Source organism: Homo sapiens, chromosome 10 (assembly GCF_000001405.40).
Source record: "Homo sapiens chromosome 10, GRCh38.p14 Primary Assembly".
Classification (NCBI taxonomy): Eukaryota; Metazoa; Chordata; class Mammalia; order Primates; family Hominidae; genus Homo; species Homo sapiens.
The window spans coordinates 97,870,369-97,893,068 of NC_000010.11; the positions used below are offsets into that span (position 1 = coordinate 97,870,369).

Sequence of the window (22,700 nt, forward strand, 5' to 3'; positions counted from 1 at the left end):
GATTCCCCTTATATGAAACTGAAAGACAGGCCAAACTCGCCTTTGATTGGGAGTCAGGATCAAGATTACCCTGGGTCGGGGGTAGCGAATGGATGGGGACCTGGGGGGCTTCTGGGAGCTCAGGATGTTCTGTTTCTTGATCAGAGTGCCAGTTACACGGGGTGCTCACTTCATGAGAATTCACTGAGCTGTATACTTAAGAGCTGTGTATTTGTCTGTACTGGTGATATATTTCAATAAAATTCACCAGAAAAGCCTGTTGGCTACAAAATAGGAAAAGAAAGGACACACTTGAAATTAACGTTTTGTTAAATATCTGGAAATGTAACACATATGCCAAACAGACAACTGCAACTCTATGTTACGTGTGTGTGTGTGTGTGTGTGTGAAAATGTAATGTCTGCTCTGCTGTGGGTGGGCCCTCTAAAAGGGAAGGTCCCTGATGCCTAAGAAAATCTGAAAACAGCCCAGGTTCACACCAGGAGTTCTTAACCTCGACCCGACTGCATTCAGGTGCATATTATGTGCCGTTATCTGAGGAGAGCATCTACAGCTTTCAGCAGATTCTCAAAGGGGTATGCAACCCCCTAAAAAGGTTAAGAACAATTGGTTTTGAGGAGTCAGTAAGAAACTGGCCATGAATGTGCTTGGCATGAAAGAGATGCTTGGTAATGTCGGTTTCTTTCCTTCCTTTCAGAGCCCAGCCTTCGGAGGTTTCCGCATGAGCCTTCTCGGGCGACTTCTAGGAGGATTTATTCCCCTGGCAGTGCCAAGGGCAGCCTGCACCAAGCTCACAACTCTTCCTCCAAGAGGATGTTCAAAGGGCCTGTCATTTCAGCATCTGCTGGACAGCAGAACTTCGCATGCAGGATCCTGGAGCTGCGTCGGGTTTTGAATCAGGGACAATGGAGGAAGTGGGAAACTGTGAAGAGAGTCAGAGGGCTGTGCCAGCTGCCCCCTTTCCCACCCCCAGCAATTCACTTAACTTTCCTGAGTCTCACCTTTGTCATTATGAGAATGTGTATATTTATAAATAATCATCTGTTTCTCCAATGTAAGATATTGTTATTGCAGAAGTGATACTAGGACCTCGTTATACGATGGCCTCATGATGTAGATTTATAGCAGGCTTCAGATTCTGGCATAGAATAAACAGATATTTATCCAAGGGTTCACTGATTCCCGAATAAATGCCAGGAACATTCATGTACATTATTATTCCATTTAATTCTCGAACACTGGGGTGTTGAAATCTTATTTTACAGATGAGGAAACTGACGTTCTAGGTGGTTAGGTAGCTTGACAAGGGCTAGTAAGTGTCAGAGCAAAGACTTGAACCTAAGTCTCTGACTCCAGATCCCACTCTCACTCTGCCACAAGAGTGAGACGTGGGAGAAGAGAGAGTGTTCTACCTGGATTGACTCATAAAGATAGAAGACAGATTCCAGACCAGAGAGAAACTCGTGGGCAAATGCATCCCCAGAAAAATTAGCTTTGCAGGGGCATGAAGGTACTAGTTATTTTGGAGTAATTCAAGTTATCGATTTCTGTAATGGAAAAGTGATTGGGAACCAGCTATCACCTGAGAACAGTGCTGAGTGAGGCCCCAAGAAGGGGGCAATGTTACACACAAGCTTACACACAGCTTACAAGACCTCAGAGATTGCGAGGGTCCTTTTCCCTGCTGCCCACAATTAATCAGTACACTTCTCAAGGGCAGGGAGCCTGTCTTACTCACTCCCCACCCCCACCCCCACCTCCCCCTATCCTGAGTGCTTGTTTCAGGGCCTGGCCCTGGCCAGGTGAATGGAAGATGCTGCCCATCTCAGGTTGGCAGGAAGAGGCAGGCCTATACAGATGTGTCATCTGCAGACCCCTAGGGCAAGGTGCCACTGAGAAGCAGCTCAGTACCATGCAGATAGGCAGTGGTCACTGAAGGATACAATTCACCTGCAAGTGGTCACCTTATAACTCAATTAAAGGATGGATGCAGTGACCCCAGGCTACCCCCTGAGCTGGGCAGCAGCTCTCAGTGATGTTGCCCTAGCTGTGACATTGTGGCTCTGCTCATGACCTCTACCTATCCTGGGAGAGGAGGGGAGGAAGCGTGTGTCCCACCCCAGTCGGCCCTGCCTGACACTCCCCAAACACCATTTTGAGGTGGGGAAAATCCTTCTGGTGCTGAATTCTTTACCTGAGAGATCTGGACCTCAGGCCCTAGAGAGTGAATTACTGTGAGTGAATCACTGGCTGGATGGCTGGCTGGCTGGATAAGTGGATGGATACAGAGAAGATGGGTATAGAGAGATGACTGATAGATCAGAGATGAGCGAGAGGCCTGCCTGGCTTGAGATGGATGCTCGCAGACCCTGGAGAGGCAGGTGAATGGATGGGTACCGATCGCCCCTGGGCTCCCCAGTGCAGATCTAAATATAGGGCTGGAGCTCTTCAAAGGGAAGATGCCGTGCTATCCCAGTCCCCAGATGAACTCCGCATTTGTAACTCTGAGTGATGGATGTGTCTTGTTGGGAAGAATCCTTATAGGTCTAATATTGCCCCAGCTAATGGCTTATGGATTGTTTTAAAGTCAGGCATTGCTGGAAGTGAAACCAGGAGGTTAAACGTCCTGGCACAGATTTTATGACAATATCTGCATTTCATCAGTCAGGCACTGCAGCAAGTACCTTATAGGCTCGAGGAAGCCTCACAACAACTCTATGAGGATTTTATCACTGCCTCTATTTTGTGGATGAAGAAACTGAGGCTCAGAGATGAAACAACTTCTTAAGGCCACTTCCAAATGCCTGGGTGGAGGGTCTGGATTTCAAGTCCATTTGATCCCAGAGTTTCAGTGTGAAGGGAAAATTTTAAGGACAGTTGAAAGGAAGGGAGAGGGGAGGGCCATAGGATTTGTGCACAGCTCTAAGAACGAACATGGCATTTTGGCACATGTGAGACACCTTCTGCAGTGGGAGGAGGCACTGAGACTTTCCAATGACTGGGTGACACGAGGGCAGCCCCAGGCTTCCTTCTCCCTCTTTCTTCTGTGTCAGCCTTCGAGGGCTCTAAACCTTGAGTCTGGGGATCTGAACTGCAGAGAGGGTGTATGTTTGGCTCACTTTCCTTCCTTTGGCCTAAACTTGTCCTTCTGCCATGGTCTCCATAAGCAGTTGGGGAAAGAGGATGTGCTTTTTTCCTGTTCCAGGAGCTCTACAGCCAGGTCTGGGGTGGAGGGAGGGAAGTTAGCCCTTAGATTTGTGGGGAGGGTGCATTAAATGACTCTAGGGGATGAGATCCTTCCTGGCTGCTCTGGGGCTGGCCATGAAGAAGGAGAACCAGCTAGCTTTAGGGGAATTATTCTGGCCCCAGACTGCTTTCCTGCTGGCAGGCAGGCTGAGGGCATGAGGTTCTGGGCGGGACGTTCTGGGAACGGGTGATACAGATTCTCCATCTGCCGCACCCTTCTCCTGACCCTGCCTCCCTCCTCACAGCTGAACAGGCTCCTCTCTGCACTCGGGACCCCCATTCAGATCTGTATTTAATCCCAGCTGAGTTCTAAGGACCAAGTATGGTTCTTCTGTTACTTGATGGGCACGTATCCTGACTCAGTTTCCATGTCAGCAAAGTGGGAAGGATAAGCCCTGCCTCTCTTATTCCTGATCTTGTTCATACACTTGGGCTTCTGGAATACCTGGAGCTTTCTGGAGAAGGGTGCTGGGAGCAGCCTGGAGCTGAGCTCTTTTGAGGAGCAGCCGGCAACCCGGCAGGAAAAAGGACCAGACGGGGGTGCAGATGCCTTGGGAAAGTTGCAGCTCCTTTTTGGGCCTTGGTTTCCACGTCTGAAAAGGAGGGAAGAGGACTAGATGACTTCTCAGGTGTTCCTGGATTTAAAGCTCTAGGATTCTGTGATTGTTGAGGGCCAAATTCCCAGGCCAGTTCACTAGCTCCTGGTGACCTCTGCTCTGTATGGCCCAGTCCATGCCATGCCCGCCTAGCTCAGTTCACTTTGTTTTATGACTATTCTTTCTGGGAATGGCACTGCATGAGAATTCAGCAGAACATAGCACAGCCCAGGCCCCAGGAAGGTTGGCTCTGCACCTTATGGCCATTTGCCATCTTTTTCTGGTGAATCTGTCAGTTCTCCAGAGGTGGCCCCGTCCTGCCCATCTCTCCCACCACAGGTGTCCTGGGTGGCAGCAGGGTGTACCGGGAAGCACAGGAGCTTTGGCACTGAACGGGCCCGGGGCTCCATCCTGAACGTGGCTACTTAATAATAGTATCTCTAATTTGTTGGGGGCTTTCTATGTGCCAGGCACCATGTCAAGTCTAATATAATAACTCTGTGAGGTATTATCCCCATCTTGCAGATGGGAAAACTGAGGTTCAAAGACACCTTACCTACTTTAAGTCTTTGCTCAATGCCTCTTTCTCAGGGAGCCCCCCTGCCCCCGCCGCTATTTAAAATGGCATTCCACCTCCATCCGGGCCTTCCCGGATGGCCTTGATGTTACTCTTCTCCAGCCCTCCATAGCACGTATCATGCTCCAACATGCTACAGACTTTCCTTATTCTGGGTATTGTTTAGTGCCTGCCACGTCTTGCTAGGGCAGGGACCTTTGCCAGTGTTGTTCACAGATGTATATCCCAAGCCACTAGAACAACATCCAGCACACAGTAGGCGTTCAGTCACTGTACATCACATGAACAACTGGTTAAATAACTTCCCCAGTGTCAGTTACCTAGAGATCGCACAGCATAAGGCTTAAGAACCCAGGCTTTGGAGCTAGTCATGAGGTTGAATTACAGCTCTTGCCACTTTAGCTAGCTATGTGACTTTGTGTAATTTACTGTTTCTGAGTCTCAGTTTCTCTGGTAATAAAATAGACTCATAACATTTATATTCTGGGATGGGTGTGAGTATTCATGGAGACATGGATGTAAAGTTCTTGGCATATGGCAGGCATTGCATAAATGTTAGCTGCTTTCCTGGAGGATGTTTTTCTTCTCTCTTGCGTCTCATTTTCCCTCTGGTGGCCTATTTTTTGACCACTTCACTGTCAACAGTAGTTCCTTAGAGGACAAGCCACCGTGGGAGAGGCTGGCGTCATCTGTGGTGTTAACCAGCCCATGTTCTCTTGCCTTCCTTCCAGGATATGCCTGTTGCTACAGACACAACAGCAACTTCTGGCATGTTCCTGGCCCCTGTGGCTGGGGTTCTGGCCTCAGAGAAGACTGGCCCTGGGCACAGGGAGGCAGGGAGGGGCTCGGTTTGCCTTCTGGGCTGGAAGTCTGGGTGGAGGTTCAGCCTGGAATCTGTTGGAAGAACTTGGCTGGCTCCCTGCAAAAATGAAGTGCTCATCTTCCTGTCTACACGGGGCTCTTGGAGTCTGGAGCGGAGTTCCTGCTTCGGCCGAGGTCCAGTGGCACTGGCCTGGGTGTGATACCCAGACCCTGGGAGGGGGCCATAGCAGCCAGAGTGACACATAATCAAACTCCTGGCCCTCAGAATGGCACCTTCCCAGAGTAGGGTTGGCAACCGTGTAGATGCTTGAAGAGGCCTAGTGGATGGTTTACCATTCTGCCTCAGTGAAGGTTGGCTGAGCCCGCCTGGCGAGGGGACTCTCGACATTAGCAAGCACTGCCACCTCTTCTTGCAGACTTGAACGTGACCGTGGGGAGGACTATTTCAGATCACTAGGCCTCCAGGGGCTCCATTTTTCCCCTCCCAATCCTGCTCTTGATCCTGGGCAGCATGAGTGACTGTGGCTTTTGCTTAAACCAATTCACCATCCCAAATGAAGAAGGGAGTGGTAGTTGAGAGTGCCAGCTGACAGCCAGACTCCTGGGATCCAGTCCTGCCTTCGTCTGTCTGGGCTGTATGACCCTGCACAAACCATTTAGCTTATCTGTAAACGTGGGATAATTACAATACCTTCCTCTTGAGATTATTATGAGGATTAAACGAGTTGATTATTGTAAAGAGTTTAGATTCAACCCAGACACGCCAAGCCCACTAAATGTAAGCTATTATTGTCATTTTAAGGGGTATGTGCCTGTGAAGAGGGAGTATTCTTGAGCAGAATAAAAATGGTATTATTCTTATTATTTCTTTTTTGTTGAAAAATGGGGAGCATTTTTGTGGCAGCACTGGCCCACCTTCCCACTGGAGTGAGTTGTGGCTGCCTGGTGCAGGCAGGTGGGGCACCAGCTCCTCCATTTGCATAATCCCTTCCGGGTCCATTTCATTACTTGACTGCCCCTAAAGGCATTTGTTATTTTTGTTACAAATTAAAGTGTAGCATAAGGCAACAAAGATGTCAGGAGCCTAGGTGGGGCTAAGGGACAGGGAAAAGACAGACTTATCTGTGTGCAGGAGGGGACGGAACGGTTTGGGCTCCCACGGGTCTCAGAGAAAGGGATTAGAAGAAAGAGGGGAATGGGAATGCTGAGCCTGGGTAGCTTGGGGGTGGCTTTGCACCCGCAAATCTGTGGCTGGTATAGCACAGACCAGTAGATGCATTGAATTTGAGGCACCTGTTCAAAAAGCCTGTACTGCTAGCTCAATGAGGAGGCTCTGTTTTTTTTTTTTTTTTTTTTTTTTTTTGGTAAGGGGGTAGGTAATGTTGAGTGGGTTCACTATCCACCTGTCCTCTGTATCTTTCAGCCTTGTATCTCTTGCAACACAAGCATCTTGGGGGCAGGGGACTTGTCCACCTCATTAGAGGGTCTCTATCACATTCCTCATGGGAGGAACCTAGTGCTTGTCATACAGGATATTCTCAATAAATGCTTGCTGAATGAATATGTAAATGAATGAATGCAGAGAGCTTGCTTTCTGGTATAGCAACCTGAGAATTCAGCTCAACTTTTTAGAAAGCCCCTTGGTGTCCCACTCCCATCCCATGCACTTGGCTCCTCTATCTGGCTGGAGGGAAGGCAGCGTAGGGGTGGCAACAATGTTACCTTCACTTACCATTACATACCTAGAGCGTAGCTCAGTACCTGGCACATAATAGGTGCTCAACAAATATTACTTTCACTTACCATTGTATGCCTAGAGCCTAGCTCAGTACTGGGCACACAGTAGGGGCTCAACAAATATTGCTTTCACTTACCATTGTATGCCTAGAGCCTAGCTCAGTACCTGCACATAGTAGTAGGGGATCAACACATATTACTTTTACTTACCATTGTTACCTTCATTTACCATTGTACGCCTAGAGCCTAACCAAATATTTGGCACATTGTAGGTGCTCAATCAGTATCTGTTGAACTCATGAATGAATCAAATGGAAGCCTTATCCTGGAGTCTGAGTGCTGCAGTGGTGCTCTTATCAGCTGTGGGAACTTAGAACTCCTCTTTGCAACTCACTGGACCCCACTCACCCAACAGGATCACATGACACAGATATACCCTGTTATATAAAACTCATTGTGAAGGCATTCATGGTTGTCACTTATAAGGCATCATCTGAAGTCTGCTGTCACCCTGAACCCCCTGATGTCCTTGGCAGGCCATCTCTGTAGTTGTCTTGTCCCTTATTTCTTGTGCTGTTGTGTATGGACAGTCAATGGGCTCTGTTATCTTGTCATTTACCACTGCATTTGGAACCATTCCTCCATGGGTTTTGGGTTTTACTTATCTCACTATCTTAGATCCACTTTGTTCATTTTTTAAAAGGCAGCAGCTTCCAGAAGGACTAGGGAATAGTCTGAACAGTGACAGAGCTGCCTGTTACCCTCTGACAAGATGGTGTGGTGGGAAAGGGCTCCAGCCCTGGCCTGGGGAGCAGTGGGCTCCATGACCTTGGGCACAGTGACCTTGAACACTTCAGCTCTCTGAGCCTCATCTCTGGAGCCCTTTCAGATCTTTAGTTCTATGTCAATACACAGGAATGGGCTTTCTAGAAGTGGAATGATTTTTAAGTTGGTGTCTGCTTTTCAGGGAAATTGTAGCTGTTTTAATTTAAAAACTTTTCATTTATGCTTCTGTTCTAAGTGTAAAAACAGCACTAGCTACAAGGAATTCATATTTTGTGATTTATTAGGAGTATTACCATGATATCAGAAAATGGCAGGGGCTTTTTTTTTGTTGAATATGTTTTTAAAAGGGTTGCTGCATTCTTAAGTGTAATTTTATTATATCCTGGGATGACTTTTTTTCCCCATGAAGAATAGATCTATGTTTTATAACAAGCCTTCACTACTGAGGCTGGTCGTGAGCATATTCTGTGGCGTTACATCATTTCCAAAGAGTGTTCTGGCTACAGGAGCATTCTATTTTCCAAGGAGATTGCAGAGACCAAGTAGCAAGGTTCTTTCTAGAAATCAGAGTAACCTGAGATGAGCCAGGCCTATGTCCAGCCAGACATTGAGGAGTCTTAGAAAGGAAAGGCCCTTAGGGATATACCAGCCCAACTCTCTTGTCATCTACATTAGGGAAACTGAGGCACAGCATGGAGAAGTGACTTCCTGCAGGTAAAAGGCCTAGAGTACACACTCCATTTCTGCCCCTCACTCATCACACATCCTTCACTTGGCCCAAACCCTGGTCCCCCAAATGTGAACATTGTTGTACGCAACCAAACCACTGCTGGTGCCTGAGGGTGACACCTGCTTTGTGTTATGATCTGCTTTCAAAGCATCTCATGGTGGAAGGGCTGCTCCTAATTCAGCATTCCAATCAGTTCTACTTGCCCCAGACCCTTTTTATCATCAGTTTGGCACTAATATCTAGTAGAGAGTTTATTGGCATAATTTCTTCAGAAAAGAGGCTGGAAGGCTTAGCAAGTTCAAATGATAACATTTTTATCAAGAGTCCCAAAGGACCACCCTTTTCCCTCCCATCACCACCACCAACACCAATAAGGCTTTCTCTAGCACAGGAAGTCAGGGGCAAAAAGCAGAAACAGCACAGGCCAAACCAGCAGGCACATGGTACATTATCGGATCAACCGGCAAGCAACCACCTGGGAGCCATCTTTGTTAAGGGCAAAATAATGAGCTCACGAGACACTGGAGGATACAAGACTATCTTGATTCTTCTGAAGGAGTGAGGGAGACTGGATGGGGTATTGGAGACTTTCCTTTCTGTTTTCTCAGAAAACATGCAAAGAAAGTCTTCACAAACAACTAAGGTTGTGTCAGTATCGCCCAACCTTCCCTTTTCAAAGATGGCCACCCCTGTTGTCCATTCAGAGGGAGCACACAGCAGAACCTACTGGGCGTGGAGAGAGAGACAAGCAGCAGGAGAGAGATTTAGTTTTCCACAAAGGCTGTTAGTTTTGTTTTGTTTTTTCCTTTATTGATGGGATTTAAAGTGCATATAACTGAAGGCAAAGTCCAAGGCCTAGAGAAAGATATGAGGCCCGAGAGAGAGGCTCAGAGATTCTAGAGGCGGCTGAAGAATACCCACCTAAAAAGGCCACTTGAGCTGCAAAAACGATGCGGCGGGGAGACAGAAAATGGGAAAAAGAGAAAGGGGGTGGGGACGGGGTGGGGGTGGAGGAAGGAGTTTGGGAAGAAGAAATTACCAGTTTAGAAATTCAGCCAAAGATGAGTAGTAGGAGTTAGTTTATATCCCAGCTATGAAAATACGGGCTGACCTCAAGGTAGGAACAGTTGTTTTAGGAAAAGTAAGAAGAATGATAGCCTCAGGCCAGGACACAGCATCCCCTGGCCCTTCAGGTGATGGTAGAAGTGATGGGGCTTCTCCAAGCCTCTGTCATGGTCTTCCCTGGAGACCCAATATGGGTCAAAGGAGACTCTATCCAGCCAGGAGAAGGAAGGGGCTGGGGACCTTGATCTGGGGCCTACCCAGAGCTCCCCAGTGGAAAGCAACATCCTTTTGCTACTGGCCTATGGCTGGGGCCCCACTCACCCACGCAGGCTGTGCCATCCTCGTTGGGCTCGTAGCCCCGACTGCACTTCTTGTTGGTCCGGCACCTGTAGCTTCCATAGGTGTTGACACATACGGGCTTGTCTCGAGGGCACACGAATGGGAACTGGATGCATTCATTGGTGTCTGCAAGGCGAGGGGAACCACTCACCATGAAGGTGTGGGGCAGCAAGTACCAGCCCAGGCTCTGCCTGCCTATACACTGTCTGGCTTTGGGAATGTGCCTTCCTCGCAGAGCCTCAGTTTCCCTGCTTCAGTTCCCTTGGCTGGCTCCTCCTGTACTTGGTCTCTACATGCTGGGGGCAGGGGGTGGGCACTCAGGCTTGGTCCTGGGTCCTCTCTTCTGTCTACTACAATCGTTCTAGGTGATCTCTTCATGCATGGATGATTCCGAAAGTTCTATCTCCAGTCACAACCTCTCCCCGTGGCTCCAGACTCACGAATACAATAACCCATGACCTACTTGACAGCTCCACTTGGATGTCTAAGATGCACCTCATGCTTAATATGTCCAAAATAGAACTCCAGATTCTGCCCTGCCCTGCCCATATTCTGGCCCTCTGTTCTGTCTTCTCTAGCTCAATCAACACCCCCATCATCAATCAGCTGCTCAAGGGGAAATCAGAGCGACCCCTGATTTCTCCGTCTTTCTTGCCCCCTGTGCAATTTCACAGCAGAGCCTGTCCACTCTGCCCCGCAGTCCACCAGTCCACCTCTCTCTGTCACCTCTTTCTCATTCCTCTGCCACCACCCAATTTCCTGCCATCGTGACCTCTTGCCTGGATTTCTGCAGCTGCCTCCTCACAGAATACCTGGCTTCCCCTCTTCCCTCCAATCCACTCTGCAATTCAGCAGCTGGAGGGAGCCTTTAAAAATGTGAATCACATCATGTCACTCCCCAGTTTAGCTTCTAAGGCTCCTAAGAGCAAAATTCAGACTCCCTACAGGGGCCTCATGGACTCTCCATCATCTCCAGGCCATACTGGCATCCCTCCTGCTCCTTCAACACACAAAGCCTTTGTCCTGTCTCCCGCTTTTCACTCCTGCCCTTCCCTCAACTCTTTCTGGGCCTAGATCCTTCTCATCCTTCAGGTCTCAGCTCAGAGTCTTCCCCCCGAGGCCCTCCCTGACCACTCTCTCTGGAACAGTCTCCAGGGAGCACCTTGCTCAGAGGGTTCTGAAATCATCTTGTCCAGGTGTGTGGTCATGCGTTCAGGGTCTGTCTCCCTCCACTAGAATGGATGCCCCTCTTGTGGAGGCGCGGGGGTGGCACTTGGCCTACATCCCCAGCTCCCAGCATGACACTTGCTGTGTACGAGGCACATAACTGCCTGTTGGGCGATGAAAAGGAAGAGGAGGCTGATCTCAAAGGGTCCTTCCTGCAGGCAGAGAAGACTCTGGAATTTCTATGCACCTGCACTATGTGTTTGGAGTGGGGCTGGGTGGGCATGTGGAGAGTGTAGGGGAGTCATTTCCTCCTCCAGCCACCCTTGGCACCACTGCTCCTCCACCTCCCCACCTGTGCTCCTTTGTTCAGACAGTGCCCCCCACCAGAACCATGTCTCCCCTCTCTGTGACTGCCGAACTGCTCCTCATTCCTCAGGGCCCAGCTTGGACCTCACTTTCTCTAGGGCACCTTCTAGGACCCTCCCTAGGCTGGTTTAGGGCCCCTGCTTTGTCATCTCCAAGCCCCTGCCCTCCCCCATCTGGGCCCTGATCACACTGTGTGGTCGACAGCTGTTTACTTTTGTGGCTCTCCATTGGTTTTCAGCTCCTGAGAGTGGTATCTGTCTTGTTTACTCCTGTATCTCAGTAGCAAAGGGTTAATGAGCAGCTGCAGAGTAGACTTGGGAAGAATGCTGGATGAGGGTTCAAGGAAGGAGGGATCCTTGGCCTGACCCCTCCTTGCTGGTCACTGGGATGGAAAGTGTTGGGGGTGAAGGTCTCCTGGACACTGAACTTCTAGGCTGCCCCTTCCCATTCCAGGCTCTTGGGGACTTTCAGAAGGTTCTTGGACCGTCAAGGAGCTGCCATCCTGGTAGTGCTGCAGCTACCTGCCTGCCCCAGTACTGCACCAGGCTGCAGTCTCCGTTCCACACTGTGACCACACTCCATACACTATTTTGCCCCAATGCCCTTGGCAATGCACACCCTTGCCTGCCAGCCCCCTTGCTTGCTGCTCCACATGGACTTGCTGGCCATGGCATGTGGCTATTCCCCCTGTGCCAGGTTGGTGGTGTGTCTCCTTCCCATCTGCAGTTTCTCGGTACTCATGGCAGGAAAACACTGCCAGTTTCCAGAACCGCAGTGATTCAGCCTGTGGGTCACTAATATCACTCCCACCCTGGTGAGTCATGTGGTGGTTGTCTTGGCATCTGGAGTCCCAGGACAAACAACACCCTCCCCTGTCCTCCTTTCTGCCCCTTGCTTGCACCCTGGACCTTGGCATGAGTCAGGCGGGCATTCCCCAGGGAGATTCCGGCCTCTACCCCATGCCCTGGTGACTGAAGGCAACTCACCCATGCAATGGCCATTTTCCTGCTGGGAGAATCCTTGGCCACACTGTAAGGTGGGCAGAAGCAGAGACATGAGTGAGTTGAGAAGGTCCCATCCCAGGTTCCCTCCTAGTCACAGCCACAGAGTAGTTGTCACCCTAACCACAGTGTGAGGCATGCTCTGAGCTCTGGGCCTGGGGGGAGCCCCCTCCCTTGTAAGACCCTTCCTTTGCGCTGAGAACAGAAGGCTGGCGGGAAGGCCATGAATGGATACGGTTCAGACTCTTGCTCATTTCCCTGTGCAAAGGATCCACACGAGCTGGGACGTCTAACAGAACCTGTCCCTTCTGTAGCATCACCCTGTGACTGAGGCTGGGTCTGTCAGGGCAAAGTGTAATGAGGGCTGGGAGATGCTTTTTGAGGTGTCTGCTCACTGCCCACATTCACTTCTCCAAGAACCTCTCCCTCACACGGGTGGGTGCCTGCAGCCATGCTTGTGTCCCACCTCTCTGGCCAGGGCTGATGGGTGGACATCCTAGCAGGAGGGAAGACTCAAGGCTTTGCAGCAAGAATTTGAACAAATTGACTCAGAGACTTAAGAGTTGGGAGCCGGCCCTGCCAGGCTGTGGAGGCTCTACCATGCCCATATGGGGGTCTCAGAGACAGCAGCCTGGGGTGGGGCAGGGGACTAAAAACGTAACACACATGACACAAAATGTCAATCAACCGTACTGATGAATGAGGTGGGTGGATGGGGATTGTTGGGGAAGAGGGGCCCCTCTCCTCCCAAAGCCAGTGCACTGACAAAGGTCCTTGAGCTCCTAGGGCTGAGGCCATCAAGCTGCCAGTTTCTACTCATCCTGAGCTTCCCTGAGTTTTATGAGTGATCCTCCTTATAAGCCCCCTTCATTTGTGTCAGTTTCAGTGGGTTCCTGTTAATCGCCACCAAGTGAACCCCATCAGAGTTGGAACGACACTGCTGAGATGGGTCCAGAGCTGCTCCTCAAAGAGCCTCCAGAAAACCTGGTGCAGGCTCTGAGCCCCACCCTAGGGCAATAGGAGGTCTTGTCAGAGACTCAGAAAGAACCAGGAGGGCAGCAACAGACCTGGGGTCATTTTAAAACTTTGCTCACAACTGGCTGTACAGCCTTGGTGGGCCTTGGTGGATTTCCTCTCTTAACCTCAGTTTTCTTCCTCTGTAAAATGGGTGCAAAAATGCTTGCCCTGCCAATACACCAGGGATTCTTTGAGAAGCAGAAGAGATGTGGGTGTGATAGTGTTGTGCAAACTACAAATGGAGGGATCAGTATGAAGCCTTCGCTTTGCCAAGATTTCCATCACTCTAGAGGCTGAGTTTGCAGATTCCTGGGAACCCAGCTTCAGCCCATGGGGTTGTGGGTGGTGCCCGCTTTTCTGGCTATGAGGCCCAGATGCCTTTGCCCACCTCCAGTGGGGCTGGGTCCTGAAGTGTGTCCTCATCCCGGGGGTAGAGGATCTCCAGCACTGAGTTCATCTCCCCGCTGGCCACGTTCCGGCTCACCATCTTGCCATCTGGCCACGTCACCTCCACACTGCTGGCTTCATCCTTCCCTGAGGGGCAGAAGGAGAGAGCATCAGCAGCAGAGGAGAGCAGGAGGCTCTCAGCGGAAGCATCAGCATCAACTAATTCATCCATTGAATAAAAGCATGAATTGAGCACTGTTCTAAGTGCTAGGGAAATGGTGAACAAGACAGATTTGAGGTCCCTCCTCTCTGGAGCAATGCTGTCCAATAGACCTGTCTGTCTGCAAGGACAGAAATGTCCTGCATCTGTGCTGTCCAGTACAGTAGCCACTGGTAACATGTGGCTGTTGAGCACTTGAAGTGGGACTCACGTGATTGAAGAGGTGAATTTTCAATTTTATTTAACTCTAATTAATTTAAATTTAATGGCCACACATGGCTGGTGGCTGCCATGTTGGATAGTGCAGCTCTTGAACTCACGTTCTAGCAGACAGGCCAAGCATCAGGAGGCTGTACTGGAGGATACAGTAAGGCCTGTGATAAGCAGGTTGTCTTTGGAGTCTGGCATTCAAATCATGGCTCTACCCCTTACCTGGTATGTTGGAAAGAGCATGGTGGGAAGTGGGTGGGAGACCTGGGGACAAATCCCAGCTGTGCAGCTAACTGGCTTTGTTATCCCAGGAATGCTTCTTGTGTTTCTATTTATTGAGCTCTGCTAAGGGCCAGGCTCTCTCTTGTCACTGGGGATGCCCCTGTTCTCATGGAGTTCCCAGTCCAGTTGGGGAGACAAGCAAACAGATGAACAAATAAATAATGCCAGATATTGACAAAAGTAGGGCAAGTAGGTAAGGAGGAGCTGGGGGTTGCCAGGGCCTTGTCTAGTCAGGTGGTCAGGGACAGCCTCTTAGGGAGGCGGCATTTGCACTGAGCTCTACATAATAACTTGGAAAAAGAGCTGGGCATGGTGGCTCATGCCTGGAATCCCAGCTACTCAGGAGGATGAGGCAGAAGTATTGGCTGAGCCCAGGACTTCAAGGCCAGCCTGGGCAACATAGTGAGACCCTGTTTCTGAAAAAAATAAAAACAAACAAAAAACAACTTAGAAAAGATGGAGTGATAAAGAGATGGCAGGTGGAGGACAGGGGAGAAAGACCATTCTACAAATCTAAGATGCTTACAGAAGATGATGGGAACCTCAGAGATATTCACAGTGAATCCATTTGCACACAACCCTAAAGCAACGTGCCACATCATTGGTGGAAAGCAGGCTGAAAAGATTTGTCAGATGTTTAGGCACTGTCAAAGCAGGCCCCAGCTCCCCGCGTAAGGAAACAGGCCCGTCACTGTGGCAAGGTCAGGCTAATGGTGATGGATTGGGGTGGGGAGGAGGCGGGGGCTGGGCCTCACCTTCCAGGAGAGGCTGCTCTCAGGTCAGCCCCTGGGAAGGAGAGCTGTGCCCAGCACAGACAGGGGGAGAACACAGCCCACTCTATCACCCATCAGGGCTGAGCAGATGTGGGGACACGGGGTCCTGCAGGGGGACCTGAAGTCAATACACTCCCCCAAACACCATTCCCAGGCTAAATAATATATCACCCACATATATGCACCATTATTTTTCCTAATATATGTAGATACTGTTAGAAAACAAATTAAACTTAAAATTGCTGTTGAATGTATATTCGCATTTGGTCATTACTATCCACCAATGAATTTTACAATGATAGCTACTATGGGGTGGACGGTAGTTGGCAAAATGTCTTGATGTATAAAAGGGGTTCCCATATTTTAGAAAAGGAGGTTTGGAGGCCACATGCAGACTTGGAGGAGAATCTCTGTGTAGACTTCCTGTAGAGACCACTGTGGGGCATGGAGGAAGGGAGCCGGGTGCTGGGGGGAGGACCCATGATGAGGGAGGTTCCAGAGGGAGTTACGCCTTGTGAGCCACATCCCCCAGCTTCTAGATCCTTCCCATGTTTGGTCTCCTTTTGCTCTCTCACCCTGGCCTCCAGGGGAGTATCACTGGAACATCCCAGCCTTGCTGCTGCCATGCTGTGAGCCTATGAGGGCCAGGACCAGAGCTACACTCTGAAGAGTCCATGGAGAGGCAGCCGCTGCCCTCATGGGCACAGCAGGCAGCAGCAACGGAGAGGCTCGGAGACAGAGGCTCATCCTCACACACTGAGTTCCCCTCCCACACAGCTCAGTTTCTCTTCCCACAGGGAAATCCTCTCTTTCCAGGCCCAACCTTACCGTTCTGGGTTTTGCTTTATCAAGCAAGAAATTATTTCTCATCACTCCCTCAATCTACAAGAATTCCTTCTGCAGAAGCGGGGTGAAAATGGGACTGGGGAGTGCCAACTACAGATTTTTTTTTCTTTTTTCTTTTTTTTTTTTTGAGATAGTATCTCAATCTGTCACCCAGGCTGGAGTGTGGTGGTGGGATCTCAGCTCACTGCAACCTCCCCCTCCCAGGTTGAAGCCATTCTCCTGCCTCAGCCTCCTGAGTAGTTGGGATTACAGGCATGTACCACCGCGCCTGGCTAATTTTTGTATTTTTAGTAGAGACAGGGTTTCGCCATGCTGGCCAGGCTGATCTCAAACTCCTGACCTCAAGTGATCCACCCACCTCAGCTTCTTAAAGTGTTGGGATTACAGACGTGACCCACCACACCCGGCCAGATTTCTTTTTTTTTTTTTCTAATTTGAAGTAGAATCTTGAGGCGCAAGAGATTTGGCATTTTCAGGGTGTACAGTTCCCAAGTTAAGTGGCACATATAAAAGGTAAATATTTGCCATTAAAAGAAGGAGACAAAGAACAGCAAATGTTTCTTACCTAAGCCTGCAGAACAGCTACATGAATGTGTTTTCCAGACTGACTGAAGGGCCACAAAGGACCCAAAAGAGTCACGGAATATTCATAGACAATCACAGATTTGCATGTGGTACTTGCGGCACTTAGGTTTTTTTTTTTTTTTTTTCTGTTTTTATTTTGAGATGGAGTTTTGCTCTTGTTGCCCAGGCTGGAGTGCAGTGGTGGGATCTCAGTTCACCACAACCTCCGCCTCCCAGGTTCAAGCAATTTTTCTGCCTAAAGCTTTCCCGAGTAGCTGGGATTACAGGCACCTGCCACCACACCTGGCTAATTTTGTATTTTTAGTAGAAATGGGGTTTCTCCATGTTGGTCAGGCTGGTCTCGAACTCCTGACCTCAGGTGATCCACCCAGCCTCGGCCTCCCAAAGTGCTGGGATTATAGGCGTGAGTCACCACCACCAGCGGGACTTAGTTTTGAGTACTGCTTCCGCAGCTTCCTCCAGACCCAGACGTGGTGCAGGGGGCCTGGGGCTATGAGATAAGCAGGCCTCAGAAAGCACAACCAGCAGGACTCCCTCCTCTGCCACTGTGTTTTGCTAACTTGGGCATCCTCTCTGGGCCTCAGCTACTTCATCTGTAAGATGGGGGTGCTGGCCAACAGCCTTACCACTCCTAGGAAGCACAGCCTTTCTACCCTGGAGCAGGAGTCCTGGCCTGCTGTTAACCATTCACCTCAGCATCCCTGGCACCATCGGCTCTTGGTCATGGGGTCTCCCTACAGTTTCCAAAGGGCTTTCAGGTGTTGGTAACAACAGTGAACACTGACAGCGTGCCCCAAGCTGTACCAAGTGCTTTATGATGCTAACGCATCGAAACTTCACATCTCCACGAGGAAGGTGCCAGTGTTATCATTTCTGCCTTAGAGATGAGAAGGTGGAGCCATGGACAGATGCAGTGAATCGCCCAGTTGCCCAGCAGAGGTCCGAGAGATCCCAGAGCCGGTATCTACTGTGCCCCTGTTACACTGCCCACCCTATCCCACGCCCAGCAGCCACCATATACCAAGCTTTGTGCAGGGATTTGGGATTCAACAGAGAATGAGACAGACCCAGGCCCCATTCTCATGATTCCCATGGGAGCGATGAATACAAGTGATTATATTATAAGCTGGGAAAGTGCCACAACAGCACTGTTACCATGTGGTGAGAGAGATGGGTCATTTCATTTGGGTATTGCAGGAGGAGTAAGAGTTTGTGAGGCGGAGAAGGGAAGGAAGGAGCGTTCCAGGGAGAGGATACAGTGTGGGCCAAGGTACAGCAGCGTGAAAGGGTAAGTTGTAGCTGAAGATCGGGAAGAAGTTCAGAGCGGGAAAGAGTGTCAGAATGTGTATCAGGTGGGAATGTGTATCAGAGGAGACTGGGGAGGGGCTTCAGAGGCTTCACACTTACGAGGTGGGTATTTATCCCCATTCTCCAGATACTGACATTGAGGCTTGACAAGGGGAAGTGACTTGCAGGTGTCTGAGCTAGGACTGGAAACCAGTCTCCTGTCCTTAGGCGCAGCTCATCCCTCTGCCCAGGAAATCTGCGTAACATCTTAAGTCTTTCCGGGGCTGCACGGGCTGAGGGGGACTGGCTCCCAGACACCGCACACCAGCAGCCTCGAAGCCAGCTGGTCCTGCCAGGCCTGTGTATAGGGGAGGGCTGAGCAGAAGAGCGCCCCCCATTAACCAGCAGAGACATGAGGTCAGGAGCAGCAGTGAGTCACCTCTGGCAGCTTTTAAAGGACAGAGGCCAAGGAGGCAGAGAGAATTGCACTTTTCAGAAGAATTACAAACAAAACAGATGGTGGGAATACAGTTGGTAGAATATTTTTGCACTTTAATAAAGCAATTTTTATGTGGGCCACTGAATTTCCCTTCCCTAAATGAGCATCAGCCGGCTCGGAGAGGCAGCTCTGAGTCACCTGCAAGCAATTAGCTGAAAGGCGGTGGCATGTGTGGGTGGGGCTGGGGCACCAGCAATACCAGGGGCAGTGGAGGCGGGAGGGAAGGGGGGGAGGGGGAAGGGGGGAGGGAGAATGGTTGGGGTGGCTGCCTGAGCCAGTGACTCCCAGTGGAGCTGGCGGAGGCAAATAGATGATTGGTGTTGTTTTTATTTTCCGGGTTTGGGAGTGAGCTGCCTCAGCCCGCTGCCAGCTGGGAAGTGGAGGGTGGGCATGTGGGGCTTGGGGGTGGGTTCCGAGCAACCAGGTTGGCGGTGGGGGAGCCCTCGACCAGGGCCATAAGCAGAAATGCTTATTTTCAGCTGGAGGTCCGTCTGCACCGAGGAGCAGCAGGGACAGGCCAGGGTGAAGAGGGGCTGTGGAACTTGGTGGGGGGGGGTCCACTGAGCAAGGCAGGGTCCACTGAGAAGGGACCCCACAGCAAGATGTCGCTATGAGAGCTCTGCACAACACAGTGGGCCCTCTGGGAACCCCGCATGCACTCATTACCCATGGACGGAGGTGGGGAGTACAGGTGAGGGCCTGCGTCCTCTGGGTGTGCTCCCGCGGGAGCAGACACGATGTACATGGGGCAAGGCTGAGGCTGTCTGAGAGATGCACACGTGTACACACTCACATACATGTCCGTGTACTCACACATGCGCACTGCACCTTGCTGCAAAGTCATGGGGAGGCAGCGCGTGACTCATGGAGGCAGGAAGGGGGCAGGGGCCCTGGGGGCAGGCAAGCTGAAGCCTTGTGAGTGCTGGCAGGGGAGCTTCCCGCCGGCCCCTCCCCTCTACTCCTCAGTCATGCGGGACCTCAAGGCAGGCCTTTCTCAGATTCATGTTGTTGACATTCCCGCTTCTCACCCCAACTGCTCAGAATTGGAAACAATCTAACTGTCCTTCCAGAGGGGACTGGGTAAATAGATGATGAGTGTGAGTGCTGTCTCACAGTGAAATACTCCACAGCACTGAAAGGAAACAAGATATATGCACAGACTTGGTATGCTGTCCAGGATGTGTACACACACACACACACACACACACACACTCTCACACGTGTATGTAAGACAGGCTCTCACTCTGTTACCCAAGCTGGAGTACAGTGTTGTGATCATAGCTCACTACAGCCTCAAACTCCTGGCCTTGAGCGATCTTCCTGCCTCATCCTCCTGAGTAACTGGGACTATAGGCTTGCACCACCACACCGGGCTAATTTTTGTAGAAAGGGGGGTCTCGCCATGTTGCCTAGGCTGGTCTTGAACTCCTGGCCTCAAGCAATCCTCCCTCCTTGGCCTCCCAAAGCATTGGGATTACAGGTATGAGCCGCTGTACCCAGCCTTGGACATAGGTTAAGAGGGGGAAAAAAAGCAAGTTACAGAAACAATTGGAAAATATCATTCTTTTGATTTTAAAAATTGCCAAGAAATATGTGTCTGTAAGTGTGTTCCTGTGTATATGACACGTAATAAAGGCATATCACAAGCATGACCTGTCCAACCTGGACCACTGTGTTGGAAAACTGCTCCTTGTTGCCCCTTCCTCTCTGCACTCCCAATCCATTCCTCTGTTCTGCATTTTCTTTTCTCTTTTCTTTTCTTTCTTTTTTTTTTTTTTGAGACGGAGTTTCGCTTTTGTTGCCTAGGCTGGAGTGCAATGGCACAATCTTGCCTCACCGTAACCTCTGCCTCCTGGGTTCAAGTGACTCTCCTGCCTCAGCCTCCCGAGTAGCTGGGATTACAGGCATGCACCACCACGCCCAGCTAATTTTGTATTTTTAGTAGAGACGGGGTTTCTCCATGTTGGTCAGGCTGGTCTCAAACTCCTGACCTCAGGTGATCTGCCCGCCTTGGCCTCCCAAAGCGCTGGGAGGACAGGCGTGAGCCACTGCACCCGGCTGCATTTTCTTTTTTTGTAGCCCATTATATCTTCTAACATTTTATATATTTACCTATTTACTATGTGTATTATGTATATAAGTTCCTTCTACTGGAACGTAGATGGCTTGTGGCAAGGATCTTCAGTTTTATGTTTGGCACACAGTACGTGCTCAGTAAATATGTAGTCACTAAATGAATCAAATGATATTGAGGGAAGGTGAAGGAAGAAACATTTACTTTTTCCTTAATATTCCAAACAGTGGTGAAATGATGAGTAATTTTTCTTCTTTTAAAAATAGTTTTCTTATTTTCCTATAATCAATATACATTGTTTTTACAATCAGAAAAAAAAAATTTCCCAAACATTCCCGTTCTTTGGACTGGACCTTCCCACTTCTGGGCCTTTGGCCAAGCCAGCCCAACTCCTAGAATGGTCTCCTTAGGCCCTCGTCCACCCCTTCTAAGCTCCTACTGTCCTTCTAGACCTAATTCCAGTCCCACTTCCTCTGGGAAGCTGCCCAGAACAAAACTGATTTCTCTCGCCTGAGTCCTCTCATGGCCACGGGGCCAGTATGGCGGTGTGTCCAGATCTGCCTTGCATGAGAGTCCCGTGTCCATCTGCCTTCCTCCGCCCACTGCCAGCCTGGAGGGCAGGGGGCATTTCTTCTCTGCCTCTTTCCCCATGTCTCTGCCTCTCTTGGTCTTCCACAGGTTCACCTCTGTCTTTCTGTCGCCCCCTGTTCTCGCACCCCCATGTCCTTCCCTCCATCTGGCCTTCTCCACTGGCGCCCTCGCTCCTGCTCCATTGCTGGCTCCCCCATCGGTCAGGAAGGGCTGTGCTGAGCTCCACTCATAAAAGATCCAGAGGGGCCTTGGAGCTGCAGGGATGGAACTGCCCCGCCTCTCGCTGTGTCCCTGGCGGCTGGGTTGGCCACCTGCTGAGGCGCCTCGTGACCCAAGGGCCCTGCCCCTAGAGCAGCCTGCCTTCTAGTGCCGCTGGGAATGGACCCTGTCAACAGAGAGAGGAGTCTGCCGGGAGGCCCCTTAGAGCAGTTTGAGCCAGAGTTCAGACCAAGAACAAATCCCAGGGCCTTGCAAAATAGCAAGGACTTGCACCAGGCGGAGCTCCCAATGAAGTGCAGTGTACATAAGCCTGAGTGTGGGGAGTAGGTGCCCAGAAGGGGCTCTTGAGCCTCCTTCTCCCCACCACATGACCTGGCTAAGGCTTTCCAGTTAAAAAAGCAATCTATTCTCCTGGCAGGGCAGATTCTGGCCAGAGAAGGGACCAAGTGAGGCCCCTAATACACCTCTTAAAATAGCAGAGGCTGCCCCTGAGATGTGGGGAAGGAGAATCTCAGCCCCCATTCTGCCCTTGCCATTGATTTGCGAGGTGAGCCTCAATGTCCTTATTGGCACAACGGAGTGGGGGAGTTGATATCCAACCAGAACCCTGGATAAGCAACCACCTACGATACCGTGGTGGTCACCTTGGTGCTTGGCTGGCTGCACAAAGCAGCTACCAGAGGTGTTAAGCCACAGTCAGGAACTCAGACCGTGGCGTCAGGGAGGTGGGATCCAAATCCAGCTCTCCTTACTCTGTAGATGTGTGGTTTGGGGCAAGTTACTTGACCTCAGCCTCAGTTTTCTGACCTGTAAAATGTGGGTTATGTTACCTGATTCTTCAAGTTGTGAAAATCAAATGAAGTGACTTAGGCAAACCACTCAGCCCAGTGCCTGGCACATACTAATTGCTTGATAAGTGTCGGCTACTGCTACTTTGCAAGACAGGACTATGTATTTAAAAGGTATCTTGTGCCTTTAGGGCCAGCTTAGCACATAGCTGCCTTAGGAGTGATAAACACTCCAACCTCAGGCTGACTTATCCAGGGTGAAATAGCCCAAGAAAATGATCATATAACCAGGCTCTGGGTCCCCTAAATATTTATTGCTTCTTTTTCAGACTACACATAAATATTATGTGTTCCCTATAAAAATTGGAGCACACACACACGACAAAACATATGGAAGAAAATAAAAACCACACGCTCAAGGAAGCCTGGGTTTGAATCCCAGTGCTGCCATTTAAGTATCATGTGACCTTGGCAGGTTTCTTAATTGTTC

The 22,700-nt window shown here is 50.2% G+C and overlaps 2 protein-coding genes and 1 non-coding gene across 4 annotated transcripts in view, besides 7 other annotated features; 1 reads left to right on the forward strand and 2 right to left on the reverse strand.

The window, feature by feature from the left end:
* The window catches only part of GOLGA7B (golgin A7 family member B), a 21,736-nt gene extending 20,526 nt beyond the window's left edge, over positions 1-1,210 (forward strand). The window contains exon 5 of the mRNA NM_001010917.3: positions 1-1,210. This exon is cut by the window's left edge and continues 4,779 nt beyond it. The gene's annotated coding sequence lies outside the window, so the exon portion shown is untranslated.
* CRTAC1 (cartilage acidic protein 1) overlaps positions 1-22,700 on the reverse strand; it is a 165,622-nt gene that overhangs the window by 5,369 nt on the left and 137,553 nt on the right. The window contains exons 12-15 of one of the 2 annotated variants that reach the window (NM_001206528.3): positions 13,838-13,983; positions 12,418-12,460; positions 9,881-10,024; positions 9,283-9,433 (exon numbers count right to left, since the gene is read on the reverse strand). In NM_001206528.3, the coding sequence (NP_001193457.1) occupies positions 9,315-9,433; positions 9,881-10,024; positions 12,418-12,460; positions 13,838-13,983 (452 nt within the window). In that variant the 3' untranslated portion in view covers positions 9,283-9,314. Of the gene's footprint in view, positions 1-9,282; positions 9,434-9,880; positions 10,025-12,417; positions 12,461-13,837; positions 13,984-22,700 lie in introns of those variants that run through there. The other variant, NM_018058.7, reaches the window with a different exon arrangement.
* Positions 5,445-5,529, reverse strand: MIR3085 (microRNA 3085). Its single transcript, NR_162124.1, has one exon. It is a non-coding gene; the product is annotated as a microRNA 3085 (primary transcript).
* Positions 5,456-5,956: an enhancer, noted in NCBI's record as "H3K4me1 hESC enhancer chr10:99635581-99636081 (GRCh37/hg19 assembly coordinates)". NCBI's record gives its function as "activates a minimal SCP1, AML or CMV promoter by ChIP-STARR-seq in primed H9 embryonic stem cells {active_cell/tissue: H9 hESC(primed)}" and the evidence as "EXISTENCE:reporter gene assay evidence [ECO:0000049][PMID:30033119]".
* Positions 11,636-12,835: an enhancer, noted in NCBI's record as "P300/CBP strongly-dependent group 1 enhancer chr10:99641761-99642960 (GRCh37/hg19 assembly coordinates)". NCBI's record gives its function as "activates an origin of replication core promoter dependent on BRD2, BRD4, P300/CBP, MED14 and CDK7 cofactors, with strong dependence on P300/CBP, by STARR-seq in HCT116 cells {active_cell/tissue: HCT116}" and the evidence as "EXISTENCE:reporter gene assay evidence [ECO:0000049][PMID:35650434]".
* Positions 12,124-12,418: a silencer, noted in NCBI's record as "tiled region #14177; K562 Repressive non-DNase unmatched - State 23:Low". NCBI's record gives its function as "represses a minimal TATA promoter and a strong SV40 promoter by Sharpr-MPRA in K562 cells {active_cell/tissue: K562}" and the evidence as "EXISTENCE:reporter gene assay evidence [ECO:0000049][PMID:27701403]".
* Positions 17,832-18,445: an enhancer, noted in NCBI's record as "H3K27ac-H3K4me1 hESC enhancer chr10:99647957-99648570 (GRCh37/hg19 assembly coordinates)". NCBI's record gives its function as "activates a minimal SCP1, AML or CMV promoter by ChIP-STARR-seq in naive H9 embryonic stem cells {active_cell/tissue: H9 hESC(naive)}" and the evidence as "EXISTENCE:reporter gene assay evidence [ECO:0000049][PMID:30033119]".
* Positions 18,446-19,058: an enhancer, noted in NCBI's record as "H3K27ac-H3K4me1 hESC enhancer chr10:99648571-99649183 (GRCh37/hg19 assembly coordinates)". NCBI's record gives its function as "activates a minimal SCP1, AML or CMV promoter by ChIP-STARR-seq in naive and primed H9 embryonic stem cells {active_cell/tissue: H9 hESC(naive and primed)}" and the evidence as "EXISTENCE:reporter gene assay evidence [ECO:0000049][PMID:30033119]".
* Positions 19,059-19,671: an enhancer, noted in NCBI's record as "H3K27ac-H3K4me1 hESC enhancer chr10:99649184-99649796 (GRCh37/hg19 assembly coordinates)". NCBI's record gives its function as "activates a minimal SCP1, AML or CMV promoter by ChIP-STARR-seq in naive and primed H9 embryonic stem cells {active_cell/tissue: H9 hESC(naive and primed)}" and the evidence as "EXISTENCE:reporter gene assay evidence [ECO:0000049][PMID:30033119]".
* Positions 19,284-19,578: an enhancer, noted in NCBI's record as "tiled region #340; HepG2 Activating non-DNase unmatched - State 23:Low, and K562 Activating DNase unmatched - State 6:EnhF". NCBI's record gives its function as "activates a minimal TATA promoter and a strong SV40 promoter by Sharpr-MPRA in HepG2 and K562 cells {active_cell/tissue: HepG2 | K562}" and the evidence as "EXISTENCE:reporter gene assay evidence [ECO:0000049][PMID:27701403]".